General features: G+C 35.3%; 1 protein-coding gene across 7 annotated transcripts in view, besides 1 other annotated feature; it reads right to left on the bottom strand.

Moving 5' to 3' along the window:
* The window catches only part of MKLN1 (muskelin 1), a 386,539-nt gene that overhangs the window by 97,779 nt on the left and 266,526 nt on the right, over window positions 1-22,234 (bottom strand). For all 7 annotated transcript variants that reach the window (NM_001145354.2, XM_047420401.1, NM_001321316.2 and 4 more), the window contains 3 exons: window positions 11,592-11,734; window positions 9,882-9,970; window positions 1,478-1,587 (listed from right to left, as the gene is read on the bottom strand). In NM_001145354.2, the coding sequence (NP_001138826.1) occupies window positions 1,478-1,587; window positions 9,882-9,970; window positions 11,592-11,734 (342 nt within the window). The remainder of the gene's footprint in view (window positions 1-1,477; window positions 1,588-9,881; window positions 9,971-11,591; window positions 11,735-22,234) is intronic.
* Window positions 12,477-12,650: a silencer, noted in NCBI's record as "fragment chr7:131070963-131071136 (GRCh37/hg19 assembly coordinates)". NCBI's record gives its function as "represses an EF-1alpha promoter that drives an FKBP-Casp9 reporter gene in an ReSE screen in K562 erythroleukemia cells {active_cell/tissue: K562}" and the evidence as "EXISTENCE:reporter gene assay evidence [ECO:0000049][PMID:32094911]".

Below are 22,234 nucleotides of genomic sequence, written 5' to 3'. Positions count from 1 at the left end.
AATCCACATAAATTATATTATGCTATTTTTGGTTTTTAAAAATAAACTATTACTTGAATGACAAGTATCAAGTATACAGATATTTCAAATTTACAAACACATTTTATGACTCAAAAATCATCAAAAAGAGACATTTAATCTTTTTTTTTTTCTTTCTTTTTTTGAGACAGGGTCTTGCTCTGTCTCCCAGGCTGGACTGTAGCGGCATAATCTCAGCTCACTGCAACCTCCGCCTCCCAGGTTCAAGCAATTCTGCCTCAGCCTCCTAAGTAGCTGAGCTTACAGGCACGCGCTACCACGCCCAGCTAATTTTTGTATTTTTAGTAGAGTCGGGGTTTCACCATGTTGGTCAGGATGGTCTTGAACTCCTGACCTCAGGCAATCTGCCCACTTTGGTCTCCCAAAGTGCTGGGATTACAGGTGTGAGCCACTGCGCCCGGCCCAATTTAATTGTTTTCTAAGCCTGAACTACCTCATCTATTAAGCAGCTATAAAGTAGACATCTCAATTAACTGGAATCCAAAAAGCAGGCACTTAATTTATTAAAATTTTCCCCTAATAGGATAGATGCCAAAAATACAATCTTATAAAAAGGATTTTTTTAAAAAAATCTCAACTTCAGGAATATGTTCTGGGACTACCTCAAACTTCCTAAGTATACCACTATTCAAACAAACAGATGACATGGAAGCCTGCATGATAATCAAACAACAATGATTTACTTATAGGCATGACCCTTTAATAAGGCAAGAAAATAATGTGTTTAGGAAGATGTATAAGATTTGAAACAAATCAGTTGATAGCTGACTTAACTAATAAAAGGTCATTAAACACCTAATCCTTACACGTTATAATTAACTATAATTAATTAACAACTTAATTATAATTAGTTAACTATAATTAACTTACTCTTGGCCTCTAAAAAAGACTTATCATAACTACCATGTAACAATATATATTACAGTTATATTAAACAGCAGTATTTTTTAACCCTGTTGACTACTTTAGGAGTCTAAATCACATCCACATCTTAAATTTTCCATTAGGCTGCAAAACTATCCCACTAAAAACTATGTTTTAAGTATTTATATGAATACAAGTGAAAAAACAAAATTCAGAGTCAAATGGGTATAATAACATAAAAGCAGACTGTGGAGCCAAACTGCCTGAATTCATATACTGGCTCAAACACTTTACAATTGTGTGATCCTAGGCAAACTATTTAATCTCTCTGTTCTTCATTTCTTCATCTATAAACTAATGGGGATAATAAGTGCACCTGTCTCATAGAGTGATAATGACTAAGTGAGTTATCAGGATTCCTTAAAAGCTGGCAGACTGGAAGTGCTTAATAAAATGTTAGCTAACTGTTGTTATTATTATTTTGAATATTTTAAATTATTCTCAATGAAGATAAGAGATTGACATATTTCTCCTTTTATAGGCATTAAAGTCAGGATTTAAAACACAGTCCTACCTTGCTATACCAGTTGAGACAAGGTTGTACTATATCAGGATCATCAATGCCACTAAGTTCAACATACCAGATGCTAAAGTTAAAGCTGGGTCCCCAGGACAAGAGTGGAACTTTAAGGAGAAAAAACAAAAAGAAGAAGAAAAATATTAACACAGTTCAAATAAAACTTTAGCAAAGTAAAAGCACTATTCAACCTTATAAGGATTCATTCAACGAATTTTCTGGGCATCTTTTATATGACTAGCATGGTGCTAAGGCTACAACAGTAAAACGAAACAGATGACCCATGCCACCATAAGATTTCCTTAGTTAATAAAAACACTGTAAGATAAATTAAAAATGTGCACATGTCTACCCCCAAATAAATGCCACCAGAATTAGATGATTTAACAGGTAAATTTTATCAAATGTACAAGCAGCAAAAAATTACTTTAGAATTTAGTCTACATCAGAACACTGAAAGAGACTGAAATTATTTATCAGTGGCACAACCCTGAAATCCAAATCAGAAGAAAAAAGACTTAAGGCCAATCACAGCTATGAATACATATTTAAATACAAATTAAAAGGAGAAAAGTTGCAAAAAATTCTATCAGATTTTCATTGTAACCAAACAGATCTCATTCCAGGAATGGAAAGATGATGGTTCAATAAATAATAGGAGCTATATTAATATAATCTACCACGTTAACAAAATAAAAGAAAAAACACATTTGATGACTTAAATACATTATTATTTTTAAACCCTCAATATATAAGCAATATAAGGCAATAAAAAATTTCCTTAGATTTTTTTAAAAAGCATCAAAAACCTTAAAAATTAAACCTACTGGGAAAATACTAAATATTCCCACTCAAGTCAGAACAAGACAAAGATGTCCAATATCTCTACTATTTGTCACTAATTAGAGGTCTCAACCAGTGCAATAAGGAAACAAACAAACAAATTAAGAAAAACGAATTGTAATTTAAAGATGACCTGTCTACCTAAAAAAATTCAAGAGAGCCAGGAGCAGTAGCTCAAGCCTGTAATCCCAGCACTTTGGGAGGCCGTGGCAAGAGGATCACTTGAGGCCAGGAATTCAAAACCAGCCTGGCAAACACAGTGAAACTCTGTCTCCACTAAAAATAGAAAAAATAGCCAGTCATGGTGGCGTGCGCCTATAATCCCAGCTACTTGGGAGGCTGTGGCAAGAGAATCACTTGAACCCAGGAGGTGGAGGTTGCAGTGAGCTGCCATGACACCACTGTACTCCAGCCTGGGCGACAGAATAAGACTGTGTCTCAGTGGAAAAAAATATATATATATATTCAATTGAAAAACTTTTTATTTGTAAACAAGGTAAACACACAAAAATCAACTTTTCCTATACCTACAATAACCAATTAGAAAATATACCTCAAAAAAGTCCTATTTATAATGGCAAAAAGCTGAAAATACTTCAGAATAAACTTAAAATACGCAATATTTATAAGAAAATATAAAATTTTAGTGAATAATTGAATAAATGAAAGAACATACTATGTTCCTATATAGGAAAACTCAATATTGTAAATGTGTAGCTCTCTCCAATTAATTATAAATTTAACATCATGTCAATCAAAATCCCAATGGTCTTTCCAGAGGTCCCACGTAGTCAAAACTACTTTTTTTTTTAATAACAACACTAGTTATTTTTCAAAACAACTATTTTTCAAAATAACATAATAAACACTTTTCTAGCCTTTTAATAATAGCAACATTGCACTAATGGTACAAAAGCAATGGTGTGTAAAACTGCTAGCACCTTGGTACCAAACTAATGGCACCAAAAAGTACTATTAGTGCTCAGTAAGTACAAGGTGCACTGTATGCCTCACCACCATACACTGGCAGTAAAATAAAATAAAATAAAATAAAATAAAATAAAATAAAATAAAATAAAAATAATTTTTACCAATGGCACAGAAAAATTAATTTTATTAAATTCCCATCAAGTACACATCTGTCTAGTATCCTGTGTGACAAAATGAGATTTGCATATAAAGCATTTTTGTTGTGTACCAAACCACAATGGTTATCTCAAGGAAAGGACCTGTACAATTATTTAAGTTGTGAGTTTAAAAATCAATTTATTTTTCATGGAATGCCATTTTATTCTTGAAAGAAAAACAGACAACCTATGATTATTCAGATTTGGGTATTTGCCAAACATTTACATGTTATTTCAAGGAAAATACTTAACGATATTTGCTGTCAAGGATAAAAACCAAGCTTTCAAGAGAAAAATTAGAATTTTGGAAGATAAGTACCCACCACTGTGAGCTTAACTGATTCCCAACACTTAGATTTTTTTAAATGAGATTAGATGTGATATTAATAAATGTGATTTTTAAAATATTACATAATGAAGTGTTTCAACATTTGGGAGATCTGTGTAATTCAGTGAACCATATTTTCTAAATAACCAATGAATGTTACAAAATCACACCTGGGTAAAAAGTCCAAGACAGACCACTGGGTAAAAAGTCCAAGATAGACCAGTGAATTTTAATGTAACAACAGATTCACTGATGCAGTTTCAGAATCAATAATGCAACTATCTTTAAGAAACTAACATTTGTAGAGTTTTGATGAAGCATCAAAATAGAATATCCAGAATAGCTGATACCAGGCGTAATGATTTCCAATATCCGACTGAATAAGGAAAATGTATGGGGTATGATACTTTTATATATTTTTGTCATCTAAAACAGGGGTCCCAAACCCCCAGGCCCAAACCTGTACAGGTCCCTGGCCTGTTAGGAACCCAGACGCATGGCAGGAGGTGCGCAGTGTGTTAAGGGAGCATTACTGCCTGGGCTCTGCCTCCTGTCAGATCAGCGTTGGCATTAGATTCTCAAAGGACTGCAAACTCTATCATGAACTGCAAATACAAGGGATCTAAGTTGTGCACTCCTTATGAGAATCTAATGCTTGATGATCTGAGATGGAAAAGTTTCATCCCAAAACCATCTCTCCACCATACCCTGCCCCAACTTCTGGGTCCACAGAAAAACTGTCTTCCACAAAACTGGTCGCTGGTGTCAAAAAGGTTGGGGACCACTGATATAAAGGAAGCTGTGTGAATAAAAACACAGGCAGTAGCAACCAGCCATAAGGATGTATGAAGGAATGCTGGGATATTTAATATGCCTTTCTGTTTATGTATGTAAACAACACACATTTCAAAAAGTTTTTTTTTAACAACAAATATTAAATTATCTTTATTGTTTTAGTGTTTCTTTATGTAGCAGTGTCATTTAAAAGTTTATCTACTAAATCACATAGCAATAACCATCTAGTAGTATAAGAGTCAGAATAAAATAATGATTCTAAACTAAAAGCACCAAGAATATAGTCTATATATGTCACCAGACATAAAATATTAGAGATTTCCAGGTCCAAGTCTCATTAAGAATTCATTTATTGGTCCTGGTGCAGTGGCTCATGTCTGTAATCCCAACACTTTGGGAGGCAGAAGCAAGAGGATCATTTGAGCCCAGGAGTTCAAGACCAGCCTGGAAATATAGTGAGACCCTATCTCTACAAAAAAAAATTAAAAATCAGCTGGGCATGATAGTATGTGCCTGTAGTCCTGGCTACTTGGGAGGCCAGATGAAGGATCACTTGAGCCCAGGAGTTCAGTGTTACAGTGAGCTATGACCACACTACTAAATTCTAGCCTAGGTAACCGAGAAAGACCCTGTCTCTTAAAAAACAAAACAAAACAAAACAAAACAAAAACCTTTTAAAACACTTGCAGTGAAATTTAATCTGTTACCCAATGGTCCAATAGAAATATTTCTAGAATAAAATTAGTTATAATTTTTAATACCTTTAAAGAATACCTTTAGAGGAAGGAGGTAAATCATGAAGTTATCTTGCCAATGGGCATATATATTACAGATGAATAAACAATATAATTAATTTTCAACAGACTAAAAGGGTATGTAAAAAATGAGCAGAATGATGTCCACTCACTTCAAACGCCAGTGATTTTTGGTAGCATTAACAATACTAATAATGCATATTAGAACACTAAGAAATCTAAAAGTGAATTAAAGCTCCAGGCACGTGTTCTTTGTTCCCTGATAAAAGATGCCTCCCTCATCAAATAAAAGAATTAGAAACTCCTAATACATATCCCAAGGCTAGCAGTTTGTATTCTAGGATTCAGTCATCAGTTTTCCCCATTGGACAATCAGACATGAATATAATCAACATCCCTGTGTCACCTTTTTTCATAAAATGGCCAGCCTGGGCAAGACAGCAAGACTCAGTTTCTACAAAAAAATTGTTTTTAAAATTAGCCAGGTGTGGTGGTGTGCTACTAGGGAGGCTGAGGCCGGAACATGGCTTGAGCCCAGGAACTGGAGGTTGCACTGAGCTCTAATTGTGCCACCTGAGCAACAGAGCAAGACTCTGCCTCTTAAAAAAAAAAAAAAAATTAGGCCAGGCGCAGTGGCTCACGCCTGTAATCCCAGCACTTTGGGAGGCCAAGGCGGGTGGATCGCCTCAGGTCGGGAGTTCAAGACCAGTCTGACCAACATGGAGAAACCCCGTCTCTACTAAAAATACAAAATTAGCCGGGCATGGTGGCGCATGCCTGTAATCACGGCTACTTAGGAGGCTGAGGCAGGAGAATCGCTTGAACCCAGGAGGCAGGAAGTTGTGGTGAGCCGAGATTGTGCCATTGCACTCCAGCCTAGGCAACAAGAGTGAAACTCCACCTCCCAAAAAAAAAAAAAAAAAGAGGTTCTGAGAGATCCTAAAAATTCAAGATTAACTATTCTGAAAGAGTGCATCTACTATTCTACTACAGATTTAATGACATAAGTATACTTAGCACAGTAACTGGCACATACTAAGTGTTCAATAAATGTTAGCTGTTATTATCTATTATTATTATATTAATTTTCCTCTTAATAGTATACTTCTAAAATGTCACTTTTCCACATGCTCTCCTAAAGGGCTTCCTGGAACTAATACCCAGACTTCATGCTCAGATTTCATGCTGCATCCAGCCAGAGTTAAAGCCGCTCTCTGAAGTCTCCACAATCATCCAGGCTGCAGCTGACTCCTTTACAAAAATCCACATCTCTCCATTTACCAAAAACCAAGACTCCCCCTGAATCCTTCCAAGACCCTGTACCTCTTTTTGCCCTCACCTACCCCTGATTTCCTCATACAGCTGTTATTGTGGCTATAAATCAGAATGTAAACCCTTTGAGCCATCTGTAACCAATACCCTCAACCCATTTTATGTTTACTTTCCTCTGATCTAATCTCCTGCTGAGCTTTCCCTTCCCAAACTTTAACTTGCCCTCTGGAATCCAGTCTCCCAATTAATAACTCACCTCTGTTACTAAATTTTCCTTTCACCTCTAGGTCTTATCTAAAACCAAGCTTCTTTCTAAGGCCAACTGTCCTTCTACACTAAGTCCCATCAAAGTCCCTAGAATACTACATGTAAGAAGGCATGTAAACACAAACTTTAAAAATATAAGTACGAAAATGTGCAAAAGAGATATCCAAAATGCAATCATTTCTTCCATAAATGTACTCTTAAATTAAAACCACAGATCCACAAACTGGAACAGAATTCAAGAAAATATCCAATATAGCTACCTATCCTACCATTAGACAGAAAAAGCATTAACATCCTCATTTTATACAAAAGGTAACTTAAGAAAGGAAAGTAAAACTTTCCTGAAGGAAGGCAGTCCAATGACATCAGTTCAGCTTTACTGGTACTCTGAATTATCCACAACAGATCTTAAAAGTTAACCCCTGCCACACAGTAGAAATGTGGGCTATTTTCCTTGTTAACAATTTATGACCAAACTTACTTCAATTTGCTTAATAAGCTACATTCATTATAAATGAAAATTATTATAGTTACATGTCAATAAACAATTTGGAGATTATCTGCCATTGTGTTAGCCTTGCTTCTGTTCCCCTCCATTACTGTGAATAATTGAAGGCTGACTAAATTGAGAAATTTTGCTGTTTAAGCATTAACTTGTTTTTTAAATAAAGCAAGATCTTTCAAACATGTCACTATAGAACACAGATGTAAAATACTCAAAGGCTTTTTTTAAGTCAAATTCTAACGATTTACCTAAATGAAATAAACGTCTGTGCTAAACTAACATCAAAAGAGAGCTATACATCATTCAAGTCCTTTACTGGAATAACTTTTGAAGAAAATATGACAAACTAAAAATATGACCTAACATACGGCCTTTTAGTTCCATATTTTCCTTATATTACTTAAAAAAAAAAGTTCTTAAGAGAATGCTTGGGAAAGGGTTGGGAAGCAAATACACTGCTGACCGGTATTAACATATTTTAAGAGAAAAGTAAGACATACTAAGTTATCTATATATTAATATCCTAAATAGAAAATGGGCTAATAAGTGTCTACTATTATTTGGAAAGCTCCAATTAACATTTTGCCTAAATACCATTAAACTAACCCTAGATCAAGTAAAAGACATCATTATGCCCTATAATTAAAAAGGTGATGAGAGAAATGCGTGGCTGTTGGTGAAAGGGTAAAAAGTTTCAGTCAAGCAGGAAGAATAAGTTCTGGAGATCTACTGTACAGCATGGTGACTATAGTAATAACTGAAAATTGCTCAGAGAGTAGATCTTAAATGTTCTCACCATAAAAAAATGTTAAGTATGTGAGGTGAGGGATATGTTAATTAGCTTGATTTAATAATTTCACAATGTATTCATATGTCAAAACATCACATTGTAAACCATAAATATATATAATTATTATTTGTCAATTATACCTTAGTAAAGCTGGGGGGAAATTTTTTAAGTGCACATATTCAAATACTCAGCAAAAAAGAAAAGAAAGGGGAAAAAAGGCTGACAGGGCTGGAAAAGGTTCCAATTTCCACTGCTTGTATACTTGCAACATAAAATCATAAAATTGTTAAAGCTATGCAAAGGTCTTTAGGAACTGATAACTCTAAATACTGATGAAAACATTACCCAGTGCAAAAGAAGTAAATAACCGAAAGTTAAATTTATTTTTAAAATTTGCTTGCTCATAAATTCTTATAAGAAAACAGAATATAGGTTTTAATTTATAAGTATTTATTATAACAACAGAAACTATAATTACTACAAAGTGACATACTGGAATCCAATTGTTCCAAAAACAGTTTCTGTATATAAGCAGTTTTTCTTAAGACCTCAAATATTCTTTTGCCCTACAGAACTGTTTGAGTCACAAAACAAAATGGCAGCAACTCTTGATAGATTGGCAAACAATGACTATGTTTGCTCCAAAAGAGTAATTATTCTCCCAAATCAAAATGTGGACTCTGGCTTTTATTATTATTCTTCAAAGTATCTAATTCACTTTAATCCCCATATCAATATAATATTTTCAAAAGTATGCAACATGGTTATAAATTAGAAGTATTTTTTTTTTGGTTTTTTTTTTGGAGATGGAGTCTCGCTCTGTCTCCCAGGCTGGAGTGCAGTGGCATGATCTTGGCTCACTGCAAACTCTGCCTCCTGGGTTCACAGCATTCTCCCACCTCAGCTTCCCGAGTAACTGGGACTACAGGCGCCTACCACCACGCCCAGCTAAATTTTTTTTTGTATTTTTAGTAGAGATGGGGTTTCACCATGTTAGCCAGGATTTAATTGCTCAATTTCCCTACCTTCTAAATAATAAATCCTATAGGAAACAAAATCACCTGAAAAATACTAATTTTGAGGATGCATTATAAATACTTTCTTAAGCTAAAATACTTGCTAAATAAATACATGCCTTAAGGTAATATTTTTCAAACAGTGATTTGCAACCTATCGATGGGTCATTAAATCAATTTAATGGGTTTGACCAGCATTTAACTAAAAAAAATAAATAAATAAAATAAAAGAACACAACTGATAATAACCATAATATACTGCCTTAAGGATTTTATCAGTATTTGGTTTTAGAATATTATTGTTTTAGTATAAGTGATAAACCTTCCATAAAATTAAGGCAATCAAATCACTAGATCCCATAAAATCTAAGAAAACTTTCAAATGAGAAAACATTTGGAAAAGATTCCACTTGAAATAACTGCCACTTAGTAATGAATTTATATAAAGCAGAAGTCAGCAAACTTCTCCTGTAAAGGACCAAAGAGTAAATTTAAGGGGCTCTGTGGTCTCTTGCAACTACTCAAGTCTACTTTTGTAGCACAAAAGCAGATACAGACAATATGTAAACAAACCAGCGCAGCAATATTCCCATAAAATTGTATTTAAAAAAACAAGAGGCCTGCAGGATTTGGTCTATGGGCTATAGTTTGCTGACTGATGATATCAAGAATTTGTTTCTATTTCAGAATGCTAAAATCTTACCTATTTTAATGAATCGACAAGGGAACATCTGTTCATCAATTTTATGCTTCAAGGTGAATGTTTCTTTGTTATAATCATTCTTTAAGCCACTGTGGGAAAAAAATAAGGCTATTAAATCTGACTTCATAATTTAGTAAATGCACTAGAACACGAATTAATGCACACTCAGGTTTTAAGTTTAAACTCATGCTCAAAATATTATGACCAAGACAATATAAACAAGTAGTTGAACATGGGCATATAGGTCAAAACCGGTACATTCAAATCAACAGCATTATAACTGGATTCTCTTAATTATACGAGGATTAATGAAAAATGTTCAGTATTATAAAGAATGTAGCTACGGTGTTTAAAAATGTGTGACAGGGCCTAGTGTCCTGAATGGATAACTGAATATAACATAAAATTTTCAACGGTAAGAATGAAATTCAAAAATAATTCACAGTCAAATCTGACAATTTAAAACCACATATTAGAATACGCCAAAGAATTTAGTTATTTAATTCTGACTGAGATGCCAATGTTTCTTTTATAGTTCAACAAATTTTCAAAGCCAACCTTACTCTGTTGGCTTAATAGCATCTGCTTTATCCTAAATAAAAATAAATGGATATCACCTCTCTACTTAAACAACTAGGACTGACACAATGATTTATGGGAAAGTCACTCACCCTCAGGTTGCTTTACATTTCCTGAAATACTTTCATGACTTAAATACAGTATAGAGTATTTGCTTATATAAAATATTATGTTAATGGGCCATACCATGTCACAAATATATTGTTTTTGTTTTTGTTTTTGTTTTTGAGACAGAGTCTCACTGTTTCACCCCAGCTGGAGTGCAGTGGTGCGATCTTGGCTCACTGCAACCTCTGACTCCCAGGTTCAAGTGATTCTCCTGCCTCAGCCTCCCAAGTAGATGGGACTACAGTCGTCCGCTACCATGTCCAGCTAATCTTTGCATTTTTATTAGAGACAGGGTTTCACTGTGCTGGCCAGGCTGGTCTTGAACTCCTGACCTCGTGATCCACCTGCCTCAGCCTCCCAAAGTTCTGGGATTACAGGCATGAGCCACCACACCCAGCCATCACAAATATATTCTAAATCTCCATGGTTTCATTTGTCCATTCCATTAGCTATCTGATTTTTCATTTGCTGGGCAGCAAATTAACACCTTCATTCCCGGTGGTCAAATATTATTAAAACTCAAATTTACTGAGCTCCTTCCAAGTGACAGGCACTGTGCTTGGCGTAGTCACGCATCTTTCAATTTATAAAACATTCCTCTTTCTAGTCTCCAACTTACAGTAAACCACTAGAATATTGCTTCTGGATTAGGGCAATTAATCTTAGTGTTTTGGATAGAGCCTGTATTTTTTTTTACAGCAAAGATTATAGCAAAAAATTTCATTAAAGCTGAAAATATTTCTGAAGTCATTAACAGCTCAAAAATACAGTTAAAAAAGGATGAAACAAAAAAGTTTGTTTCTTCTTTGGTAAAAATATTAACTAGGGTCTGTTGGTTAAAAAATAAAAATAAAAAAGAAAGCTAACTCAAGCCACAGTATTAAACTAAGGCATTAGGGATAGAATAGAAGGAATACTCTTTTCTCCTTTGAAAGAAAAATCAAACCATGCAGATTAGCTACAAAAAGACTAAGACTACGTTTTGTTTAGAAGACAGCTCTCTTCAACATAACCATAACTCACCTGGACAACAGCTCTGTCATATTTTCTTCATTCATTCCACCAAAGACTTTAAATTTCTTCAAATTGCAAACATGAGTTTTCTCATATTTTCCAAATGTGATATTCTGAACTATAGCAGGCCTTTCGAGCTTTAGAATCAAGTACTAAAAAAAGAAACGACCAAATTATATCCTCTTCTGTTTAAAACAAATGTTAGACAACTTTAAAACTATTGCCAGTTAACAGAAGAATGTATAAGGTCCATCCTTGTCCATCCTGTACTAGCAGATTTTTTTAAAGCTATAGAATAGTACATAACAGCCTTATAAAGGTTATCCCACCAGAACCACTTTTCACGCCAGTAGATCCCAAAAACTACATTATCCCCAACACTGTAGGTGAAGGGAGGAAAAAAAGAACTAGTGAGATAACTTCTAATCAAAGAACAGTATTCAATAAAAGATATAACCAAACTATGCAAAACCAAATAAAACAAGATTAGAATACAAAAATAACAATTACATATTTCTATGGACTCTACTTCAATAACTAAACCAATGTTTGAAAGCGGCACTAAAATTTTTAGATGTAGAAGCAAAGATTTACTAATCAACCCTGCCAAGTTTACAAATTTGAAACCCAAATCTACTCTAGATACGTCTAATGTAGCTCATTTTCCTATTACACATTGGATAAAACGGGATCAATTAAATAGAGAACATCACGCAGACTGTTCTCTATTATAAAAATTAAGAAGAAAATTACCACTCCTTGAACACATGTTGGAAAAGCTATTTAGAAAAACCAATCAGATGTTTTGTTGGAGAGACGTCATGCTTCACGATATTGGATAATATAGGTGATAAAGACGGTTAAGAATAAACTTGCTGGTCCTGCCTCTTATCACACACAAAAATCAACTCAAAATGGATAAAAACTGATCCAACATCAATCCTTTAGGACTGAAGACCTGGCCGGGTGCGGTGGCTCACACCTGTAATCCCAGCACTTTGGGAGGCCGAGGTGGGCGGATCACAAGGTCAGGGGTTTGAGACCGGCCTGGCCAACATGGTGAAACCCCGTTTTTACTAAAAATACAAAAATTAGCCAGGCATGGTGGCGGTCGCCTGTAATCCTAGCTACTCAGGAGGCTGAGGCAGGAGAATTGCTTGAACCCTAGAGATGGAGGTTGCAGTGAGCCAAGATCACGCCATTGCACTCTAGCTTGAGTAACAGAGTAAGACTCTAGCTCAAAAAAAAAAAAAAAAAGACTGAAGACCTAAATGTAAGAGCTAAAACTTTAAACATCTTAGACAAAAACTACGGGCAAATCTTCATGACTCTGGATTTGGCACCGGATTCTTAGATATGACAGCAAAAGTACAAACAAAATAAAATAAATTGGATTTCATCAAAACTAAAATTTTAGTATCAAAGGATACTATCAAGAAAGTGAAAAGACACCCTATAGAATGGGAGAAAATATTTGCAAATCATATATCTGATAAGAGTCTGGTATCTGGAATATATTAAAAATGCCCCTACAATTTAACAACAAAAAGACAAACAACCCAATTTAAAAACAGATAAAGGACCTGAATAGCCCTTTCTCCAAAGAAAGTAAACAAATGGCCAACAGGCACATGAAAAGATGCTTAACATCATTAGTCATCAGGAAAATGTAAATCCAAATCACAAAATACCATTTCACATCCACTAAGATGGCAATAATAATAATAATTTTAAAATGCAAAACCGTAAGTGTTGACAAAGATGTAAAGAAACTGGAACTCTCATGCATTGCTGGCAGGAATGTAAAACGGTACACATACTGTGGAAAATCATTTGGCAGTGCCTCAAAAAGTTAAACAGAATTACTACACGACCAAGAATGTCCACTCCTAGGTATAAACCCAAATGAAATGAGGAAAAAAAAAAAAGGTATACAAACAAACAGTCGTACATGAATGTTCACAGGGGTACTGTTCACAATAGCCAAAAGGTGGAAACAACCCAAATGTCCGTCGACTGATGAATGGCCAAATTACAGTATTTCTGTGCAATGTAGTATTCCGCCATATGAAGGAATGCACACTGACACACACTACAACCTGGATTAACCTCAAAAACATACTAAGTGAAAAAAGTCAGATACAAAAGCCAGTCTGACTTACCCAGAACAAGTAAATGCATAGAGGCATAAAGCAGATTAGTGGTTGTCAAAAACTGGGCTGAGATCGAAAAGGAGATACTCCTTACTGGGTATATGAAGTTTCTTTGTGGACAATGAAAATATTTTGGAACTAGATGGAGGTGATAGTTGCTCAATTCTGTAAATGCACTAAATGTCACTGAATTATATACTTTAAAATGGCTAACTTTATATTATGTGTGATTTTACCTCAATAAAAAAAGAATTAAGCTGGTGGTGTTAAGAATGGCAATGAAAATAACGCTAACATTTTGTGAGCACTAACTTCTTATTTGGCACATTGCTGAGACTTTTACATGCATTAGCTCATTCACAGTAGTAGCAGTAGTGGGAGGAATATATGAACACAGGTTACTCTCTTCATCCTCAATTTACAGATGAAGAAATATAGTTACACAGCTAACTATAGGTGTACTATAGGGTGTATTAGTTTCCTTGGGTTTCCATAACAAATTATAACAAATCGATGGCTTTAAAACAACAGAAATTTATTTTCTCATAGTTCTGGAGGCCTGAAGTCTTAAACTACAGTGTCAGCAGTACCATGCTCCCTTCAAAGGACCTCAGAAAGGATCCTTCTTTGCCTCTTCCAGTATCTGGTGGCTCTTGATTTTTTTTCTGGCTTGTGACAGTGTAACTCCTATCTCTGCCACCCATCTTCACATGGCTTTCTTCCCTGTATCTGTGTCTTTTCTGTGTCTAGTAAGGACACTTGTCATTGGATTTATAGGCCACCCTAATCAAAGATGCTCTCACCTCGAGATCCCTACCTTAATTACATTTACTAACACTTTATTCCAAATAAGGTCACATTCTGAGATGTCACATATCTTGGTAGGGGTGGGGGTGGGGGGAGGGACCATTCAATCTACTACACAGAGCCAGCCAGGCAAAAAAAAAAAAAGTAGTGAATGCTTATGAAAATTAGTTCTAGGTACTGCTGTTAAAATGCCAGTGTGGTTGCAGCCTAATAGGCAGGGCAGAAAATGGTATGTGTTGAAAATGAAGAGGAGGCAGTCACCAGATCATGCAGTTTGTGCAATTACATGAAGTTTGAATTATAAATTCAATGGGATCTATTAAGCACAACAAAAAGCTATGATCTGATTAACATTACACACACATATGCACACAATGTGCATTACAGAGAGCGGATTAAAAGAACTGGCACACCAGTTAGGATGCTGTCACAATAAACTCAGGAAAGAGGTGAGATGAAGGAGACTTGGACTAAAATAGCGTGGAGATGGACAACAGTAGACAGTTTTGACACACATTTTGGAGAAACAATTGATGGGATTTGGTGACAGATTGGATGCAGGGGAAAAAGAGGGAGGCATTAAGGATGATGACATAGTTTCTGACTTCAATAACAGGGTAAGTGGTGATATCATTTACTGTGATGGAAAGAACTGGCAAAGAAACAGGAAGTACAAAAATGAGACTAGAAAAGTCCAGATTTTATATCTATGTATATCTGAGGTTATGTAATAAATCACTCCAGTGTCTTAAAACAACAGTGGTTCATGATTTCTCATGATTCTGTGGGTTTGCTAGACAGCTTTTCCATTGGTAGCTGCTGGATTCATTCATGTAGTTGTATTAAGCTGATGGATTGGCTAGGGGACTGGGCTTAACTGGAGTGGGGAATGGGAAGGCTGGGGTTAATTGGGATTGGGCTTTCAACCTCAAAGAAGCTAAATAGGCTTTCCTCAAGCACATTTATCTCTAAGCTTCTACAGGCCTTGCTTAGAAGTTGCAATATCACTTTCTTAGACTTTTCTGTTGGTCAAAGAAAATCACAAGACCAACCAAGACTCATGAGGTAGAAGAGACTGCACCTTCTGCTGGAAGGAGGTGTAATTTGTGACCATATTAAGAAATTTGGACTCTGTTCTAGGACAAGTAGAGAAACATAAAAAGGTTTTAAGGTGTGGAACAATAGCAACAAAATTCAATATCCATTCAGGATTAGAAATTCTCAGAAAACTTCAAACAGGAGGAAATTTTCTCAAAGAAACACAGGACATATATAAAATATCCGTAGCTGGCCGGGTGTGGTGGCTCATGCCTGTAATCCCAGAACTTTGGGAGGCCAAGGAGGGTCGATCACGAGGTCAAGAGATCGAGACCATCCTAGCTAACACGGTGAAACCCTGTCTCTACTAAAAATACAAAAAATTAGCCGGGCGTGGTGGTGGGCACCTGTAGTCCCAGCTACTCGGGAGGCTGAGACAGGAGAATGGCATGAACCTATGGGGCGGAGCTTGCAGTGAGCCAAGATCGCACCACTGCACTCCAGCCTGGGAGACACAGTAAGACCCTGTCTCTAAAATAAAATAAAATAAAATAAAATATCTATAGCTAAGCATCATGCTTAATGATGATTCCCTCTAATATTGGAACAGAAGGAAGGCTGGGGCAGTGAGTGGGGAGAACAGGAAGGGGAAACCACAGATGCAAAGAAAATATTTGCAAATCATATATAAATCTGATAAAGAACTTAAATACAAAACATACACAGAACTCTCAAAACTGAACAATAACAACAAATTTTAAAACGACAAACCTTTTGAACAGACACTTCACCAGAAAACAGTCAAGAAGGCAACAAGCATACAAAAAATGGTAACATCATTAATCATTTTAAAAATGCAAATTAAAACCACAAAGACTTGTATATTAATTTTGTTTTTTTTTTGGGAGAAAGATTCTCGCCTTGTCTGTCGCCCTGGCTGGAGTGCAGTGGCAAGATCCTGGCTCACTGCAACCTCCGCCTCCCAGGTTCAAGTGATTCTTGTGCCTCAGCCTCCCAAATAGCTGAGATTACAGGCATGAGCCACCACGCCTGGCTAATTTTTTGTAATTTTATGGATATGGGGTTTCGCCATGTTGGCCAGGCTGGTCTCGAACTCCTGGCCTCAAGTGATCTGCCTGCCTCGACCTCCCAAAGTGCTGGGATTACAGGCACGAGCCACCATACCCAGGCACTTCTGTATTAATTTTTAGCACATCTTTGTAATAGCCAAAAATTGGAAAACGATTCAATGTTCATTAACAGGTATATGGATAAACAAACTGTGAGATATTCATACAACAGAAATCAAGTAGGTAACAAGATCCTACTATTATTACCTGAATAATGACACTTGCGCTTGCCAGTATGTTTGTGAGTACATACAGATGTATGCATGTACATGTTTAAATTAGTATTTGATGCAATGAACCCATATAAAGATATGAATGGGCACAAACCTGATTGTTAGCATTGGTTACTAGAGAGAAGGAGATGAGAGGACAAAAAAAAGAAAACAATTATTTTCTTTTAAAAAGTTATTCCCATTTATAAAACCAACATGTTACGTAAATTATGTGTCTGTGTGAGTGTATGCACAGAGTTAAGCTGAATCATCTTCAAAATGATGGCAGTGGTGGTGGTGGTGGTGGTAGTGATGAGGTCAGGATGATGGAATTCAGCTGATTTCTAATTTATTTTAGATTTCTTATGCTTTTATCTCCTTTTTGATTCTCACTTTTAGTATTTGTAATTTGTATAAACAAAAACATTAAAGTCATTTTCACAGTGATGGGGGCAATATTTTGAGACCTTAATGAGAAAACATTGCTGTTAATTCTGGATCATCTGTGCTGGTAGAGTAAATGTAGCATGAATGAAAATCCCATAAATGCTTTAAAGATATAATATCACCCTTCCCTGTCATCATATATGTGGTTACAGTAGTTACTGATACTGTCATGGAAAACATGTCTTTCAAGATGACTGGTGAAAACTCTCTAGGGTTGGTTAAAATGTACAGGCAGTTACAAATGTCTTTTTAATTGACATAATAAGGGTTAGATCATAACTCCTTTACTGCAATTATAAGCTTCTTCCAAAGTAGTTTAAGTAAATGATATGCCTTATGGAGAAAATACATGTGTTAGATAAACTCATTATGATATGAGTTATAGTACTGTTGGCTGTGAATTCAATGTTAATGAATCAAAAATACTTATATTAAGGTTTCTTTAAACAGAAACATACATAAGACAAGATTATACATTGATTAGCTGATGAAAATATTTAACCAAAGACTCACAGGAACCTAACCCTGTATTTTTCTAGGAGCAATGGTTCAGTATTTGCTAAATCACTGTTCATGACTACTTTATAGGACATAACTACTGTGAATAACCAGAATCAACTGTATATGAAACCAAAATACTTGCCATAGTTTAAGGGCAGCAAAGTAGCTACTACATGTATCCTAATCCTTGCAATTACCGTATGATTATGGGAAGAATTCAAAAACACATCAACATTTAGTGAAATAAGGTTTCTCCTTATTCAAAACTAAATAAAACTAATTTATACAGCATGAGTATCCTCTTAAGTGATTTGAAACAAGCAGGTCACATAACAGCTTATTAGAATAAACTAAAAAGTGAATAACTTTTTGCATCTGCAATATTATATTACTGGCAACAATTATTTTCTTAGCAATACCTGCCTATAATAATACTGCTACTTTACATAAAGTATACTAAATTTCAGAAAATGCTTTTGCATACATTCTTATTTTATTCTCATAAGTGCAATTTGCATTTTGGGTATTGTATTTTTCATTTTTTGTTGGTATTTTTTAATACAGTTTTCAGTTCTTTGCCAAAATTTTCAATATTAATTTTCATCTCCTTTTTTCCTTTCACATAGCAAGGGCACTTATTTTAAGACTTGTATCTGAAACTCCTATTATCTGTAAATCCCTCTATTTTGATAGACACCAAATATGAAAAACTAAAAGTAACTACATGCCTAGGGTATCAGCTTCCTAAAAAAGTATATCTTCTACTGTAGGTCTATTGCTAGGGATACTACCAATTCCTGATTATTTTAATCCAGTTTCAAGTACCGGGATGATATGAAACTGGACTTCACTCCCTGTGAGGGCCAGATTATTTCTGGTTCACGCTCACTCTTCAGACATAGCTTCAGGGTCTTCAGCCCAGAGCAAGAGGAGTCTACCACCCTACCACACCCCAGATTCTAGCTTCTAATCTATAACTCCCTGGCTCCAGGGGTTTGTCAAAGGTGCTATTTCAGCTTCTTAATCTCTTAGAACTTCTTTAGGCTACTCAGTAGAAAAGTGGCCCCAAAGTAGTTCTTTTTAGATTCCCATAGTCTTCTGAATCTTGGCCCCATCACTTTTGAAAAAAAATTTTGTGGGCACACAGTAGGTGTATATATTTACAGGGTACATGAGATGTTTTGATACAGGGATGCAATGTGAAATACGCACATCGTGGAGAATGGGGTACCCCTAACCTCAAACATTTATCCTTCAAGTTACAAACAATCCAACTACATTCCTTACGTTACTTAAAAATATATAGTTATTATTGACTACAGTCAGCCTATTGTGCTATCAAATAGTAGGTCTTATTCATTCCCATCACTCTTTACTACCTTATTTTCAATATACTACCTTCAAAAATATTTTTTAAAATTTGACTTCTATTTCATCTTTTCTATCTGTGCTTAGTGGAAAATCTTGTCAAAACTGACTTTTATTATTATATTTTTCATTTATAGAAGTTTTATTTGGTTCTTTTTCAAATCTGCCACATCACTTTTTAGTGTCCAATTTCTTTTATTTCTTTAAATATAAGTAGTTGACTTAACTCCAGTATCTTTCAGTAATTTTAATTCTAATATCTAAAATTCTGGAAGGGGTTCTGCCATTTGTTCTGCTAGTTCTTAAAGTATCTTACTTTCTGCTATATACTTAGTTATCTTTGAGTGTGTACTGCTCAATTTTCCTCTAATAATGATTTGTGGAGAATGCCTGAGGCCTAGAATAAAGGTAACTATTTTCAGAGAAGATCTGCATTTGCTTCTGCTGAGAACCTTAAATGTACTATTCATCCACAATCACTTTAAACTAAAATCATACCACAAGGTTTCATGGATAGTCAAGTAATGAGAATCTGACTACCAAATGTGAACAAAAACCAATACATAAGCTATAACCTCTCAGAGACGAGTTTTCTTCCTCATTTTCCCTTCCTCTACTGAGTGTCAATGCAATTCTTTCCACGGTCCCTAGGAGGTGGGGACTTCTTCTGTTTCATTCTTATCCTGAGAATGAATTGCTTTAAGGTTCCAGCTTCCAAAAAAAAAAAAAAAAAGTCCCAGCTTTGCGTGCGTGTGTGTGCACACGTGCGTGTATTTTTTCTTTTTTGAGACAGTCTCTCACTCTGTCACCCAGGCTGGAGTGCAGTGGCATGATCTCGACTCACTGCAGCCTTGACCTCCTGGGTTCAAGCAATCCTCCCAACTCAGCCTCCTGAGTATCTCGGACTACAGGCACACGCTACCATGCCCGACTACTTTTTGTATTTTTTGTACAGACAGGGTTTCACCATGTTGCCCAGACTGATCTCAAACTCCTGAGCACAAGTGATCCACCCGTCTTGGCCTCCCAAAGTGGTAGGATTACAGGCATGAGCCACCACGTCCGGCCGTGGATATATCTATTTTTTATCCAGTGCATTTGGGAACTTTCAGATCAAGAGTGGGAAAGAAATATTATAGCTTACAACCACTAGAAGTGCAAGACTCTTTGCTACATAACTATACATGAAAACTATACCCATGCTGGCCAGGCATGATGGTTCACGCCTGTAAGCCCAGCACTTTGGGTGGCCAAGGTGGGCGGATCACCTGAGGTCAGGAATTCAAGGCCAGCCTGACCAACATGGTGAAACCCAGTATCTACTAAAAATACAAAAATTAGCTGGGCGTGGTGGTGCACGCCTATAATCCCAGCTACTCGGGAGGCTGAGGCAGGAGAATCACTTGAGCCCAGGAGGTGGAGGCTGCAGTGAGCCAAGATTACGCCACTGCACTCCAGCCTGGATGACAAGAGCAAAATTCGGTCTCAAAAAAATAAATAAACAAATAAAAAATAAAACTATACCCATTCCATCCAACATGGCAGTCTCTCATACAACTAAGTAAACATTGAAATTGCTTTCAATTTTATTTTTTCTTTTCTGGCAAAAATGTTGTCCCTTGAGACTGGCCACAGAAAACCCCAGTTATATTTGAGTAATAACTACAATGAAGAAAACTAGATTGCATGGTATTTATTTTCATGACAAATTAGTCCTTCTTCATTACAAAAACTTCAGATAACTTCTACTATAGGACTTATCATATTGAAATGTTTCAGGGTATCTGATGTAATACCCGTCGCTCATCAAGAGGAGACAATATTTAATTCCCTACAGTATTCAAATACCTAAAGTTTGGCACTCCATAGATGCTTACTAAATAATTTTTTAATGAATGAATAAGCAAACAAAAAAGTTAAGAAAAGTATTAAATTCTACTGCCTTCAAAATATAGTCCAATAACAAATAAAGACAATTTCAAAATAATAAGGTTATCATAGTTTCAGTTATGATCACTGAATTTTCCTTTTTTCAGAAAAGATCATTAATAAGAAATAAAAATAATCAAATGAAAAACACTAACATACCAAAATTTGAGCACTAAAATTAAGTAAAATGAAAAAGTGAATCAAGAAAAGCGTGATTAAAAACACAATGTAAGTCCATTAACATATGCAAAGAGATTTTAATGTAAATAGGAAAAAGCAAATTATAACCACAATGAGTTAAAATGAAAAATCCACTAGACTGGCAAAATATAAAATCCACCCATAGAAGTGATGAGGAGAACATGATCCAACAGCAACTTCCATAAACAACCATTAAGAGGATAAATTCTACAACTACTTTGTAAAACAGTCTTCTGTTACCTGATAAAGTTCAATACACATATACCTACCCTATAATTCAACAATTCTACTCCAAGGTATGTATACCTTAAAGAAACTCTTACACATGTGTACCAGGAGACAACATATAAGAATGTTCACAGCAGCTTGTATCATAATAGCGAAGAACTGTAAAAAGCCTAAATGCCTATCATCAGCAAAATGGATAAATACATTTTGGCATATTTATACACAGGAATACTATATGGTAGTGAAAATGAACAAACTACAATTACATATAACGATATTAATAAACATCATGTTAAAAAACAGCTAGTCACAGAAAATTTATAAATGACTGAATCAATTTATATTTTATTTTTATAAAGTCAAAGCCAAAAAAATTAAATCATAAAATATTTATATGCTATATCTATGGAATATTATTTTAAAATGCTTAATAAAACATCAATTATAGTTACTGGGGAGGGGTTAGAGGAAAGATATAAGAGGGGGCTCAAAGGAGGCTTCAAAAGATAGCAGTCACTTTCCATTTCTAAACATGGCTGATGAATAAACAGGTTATTTGTCTTATTCTTTACATTATATATAAAAATTATAAATATATATTCTTTTTTTTTTTTTTTGAGACAGAGTCTCACTCTGTC

This window comes from Homo sapiens, chromosome 7 (genome assembly GCF_000001405.40).
Source record: "Homo sapiens chromosome 7, GRCh38.p14 Primary Assembly".
In the NCBI taxonomy this organism is placed as follows: Eukaryota; Metazoa; Chordata; class Mammalia; order Primates; family Hominidae; genus Homo; species Homo sapiens.
This window is presented reverse-complemented; position numbering and strand designations above follow the sequence as displayed.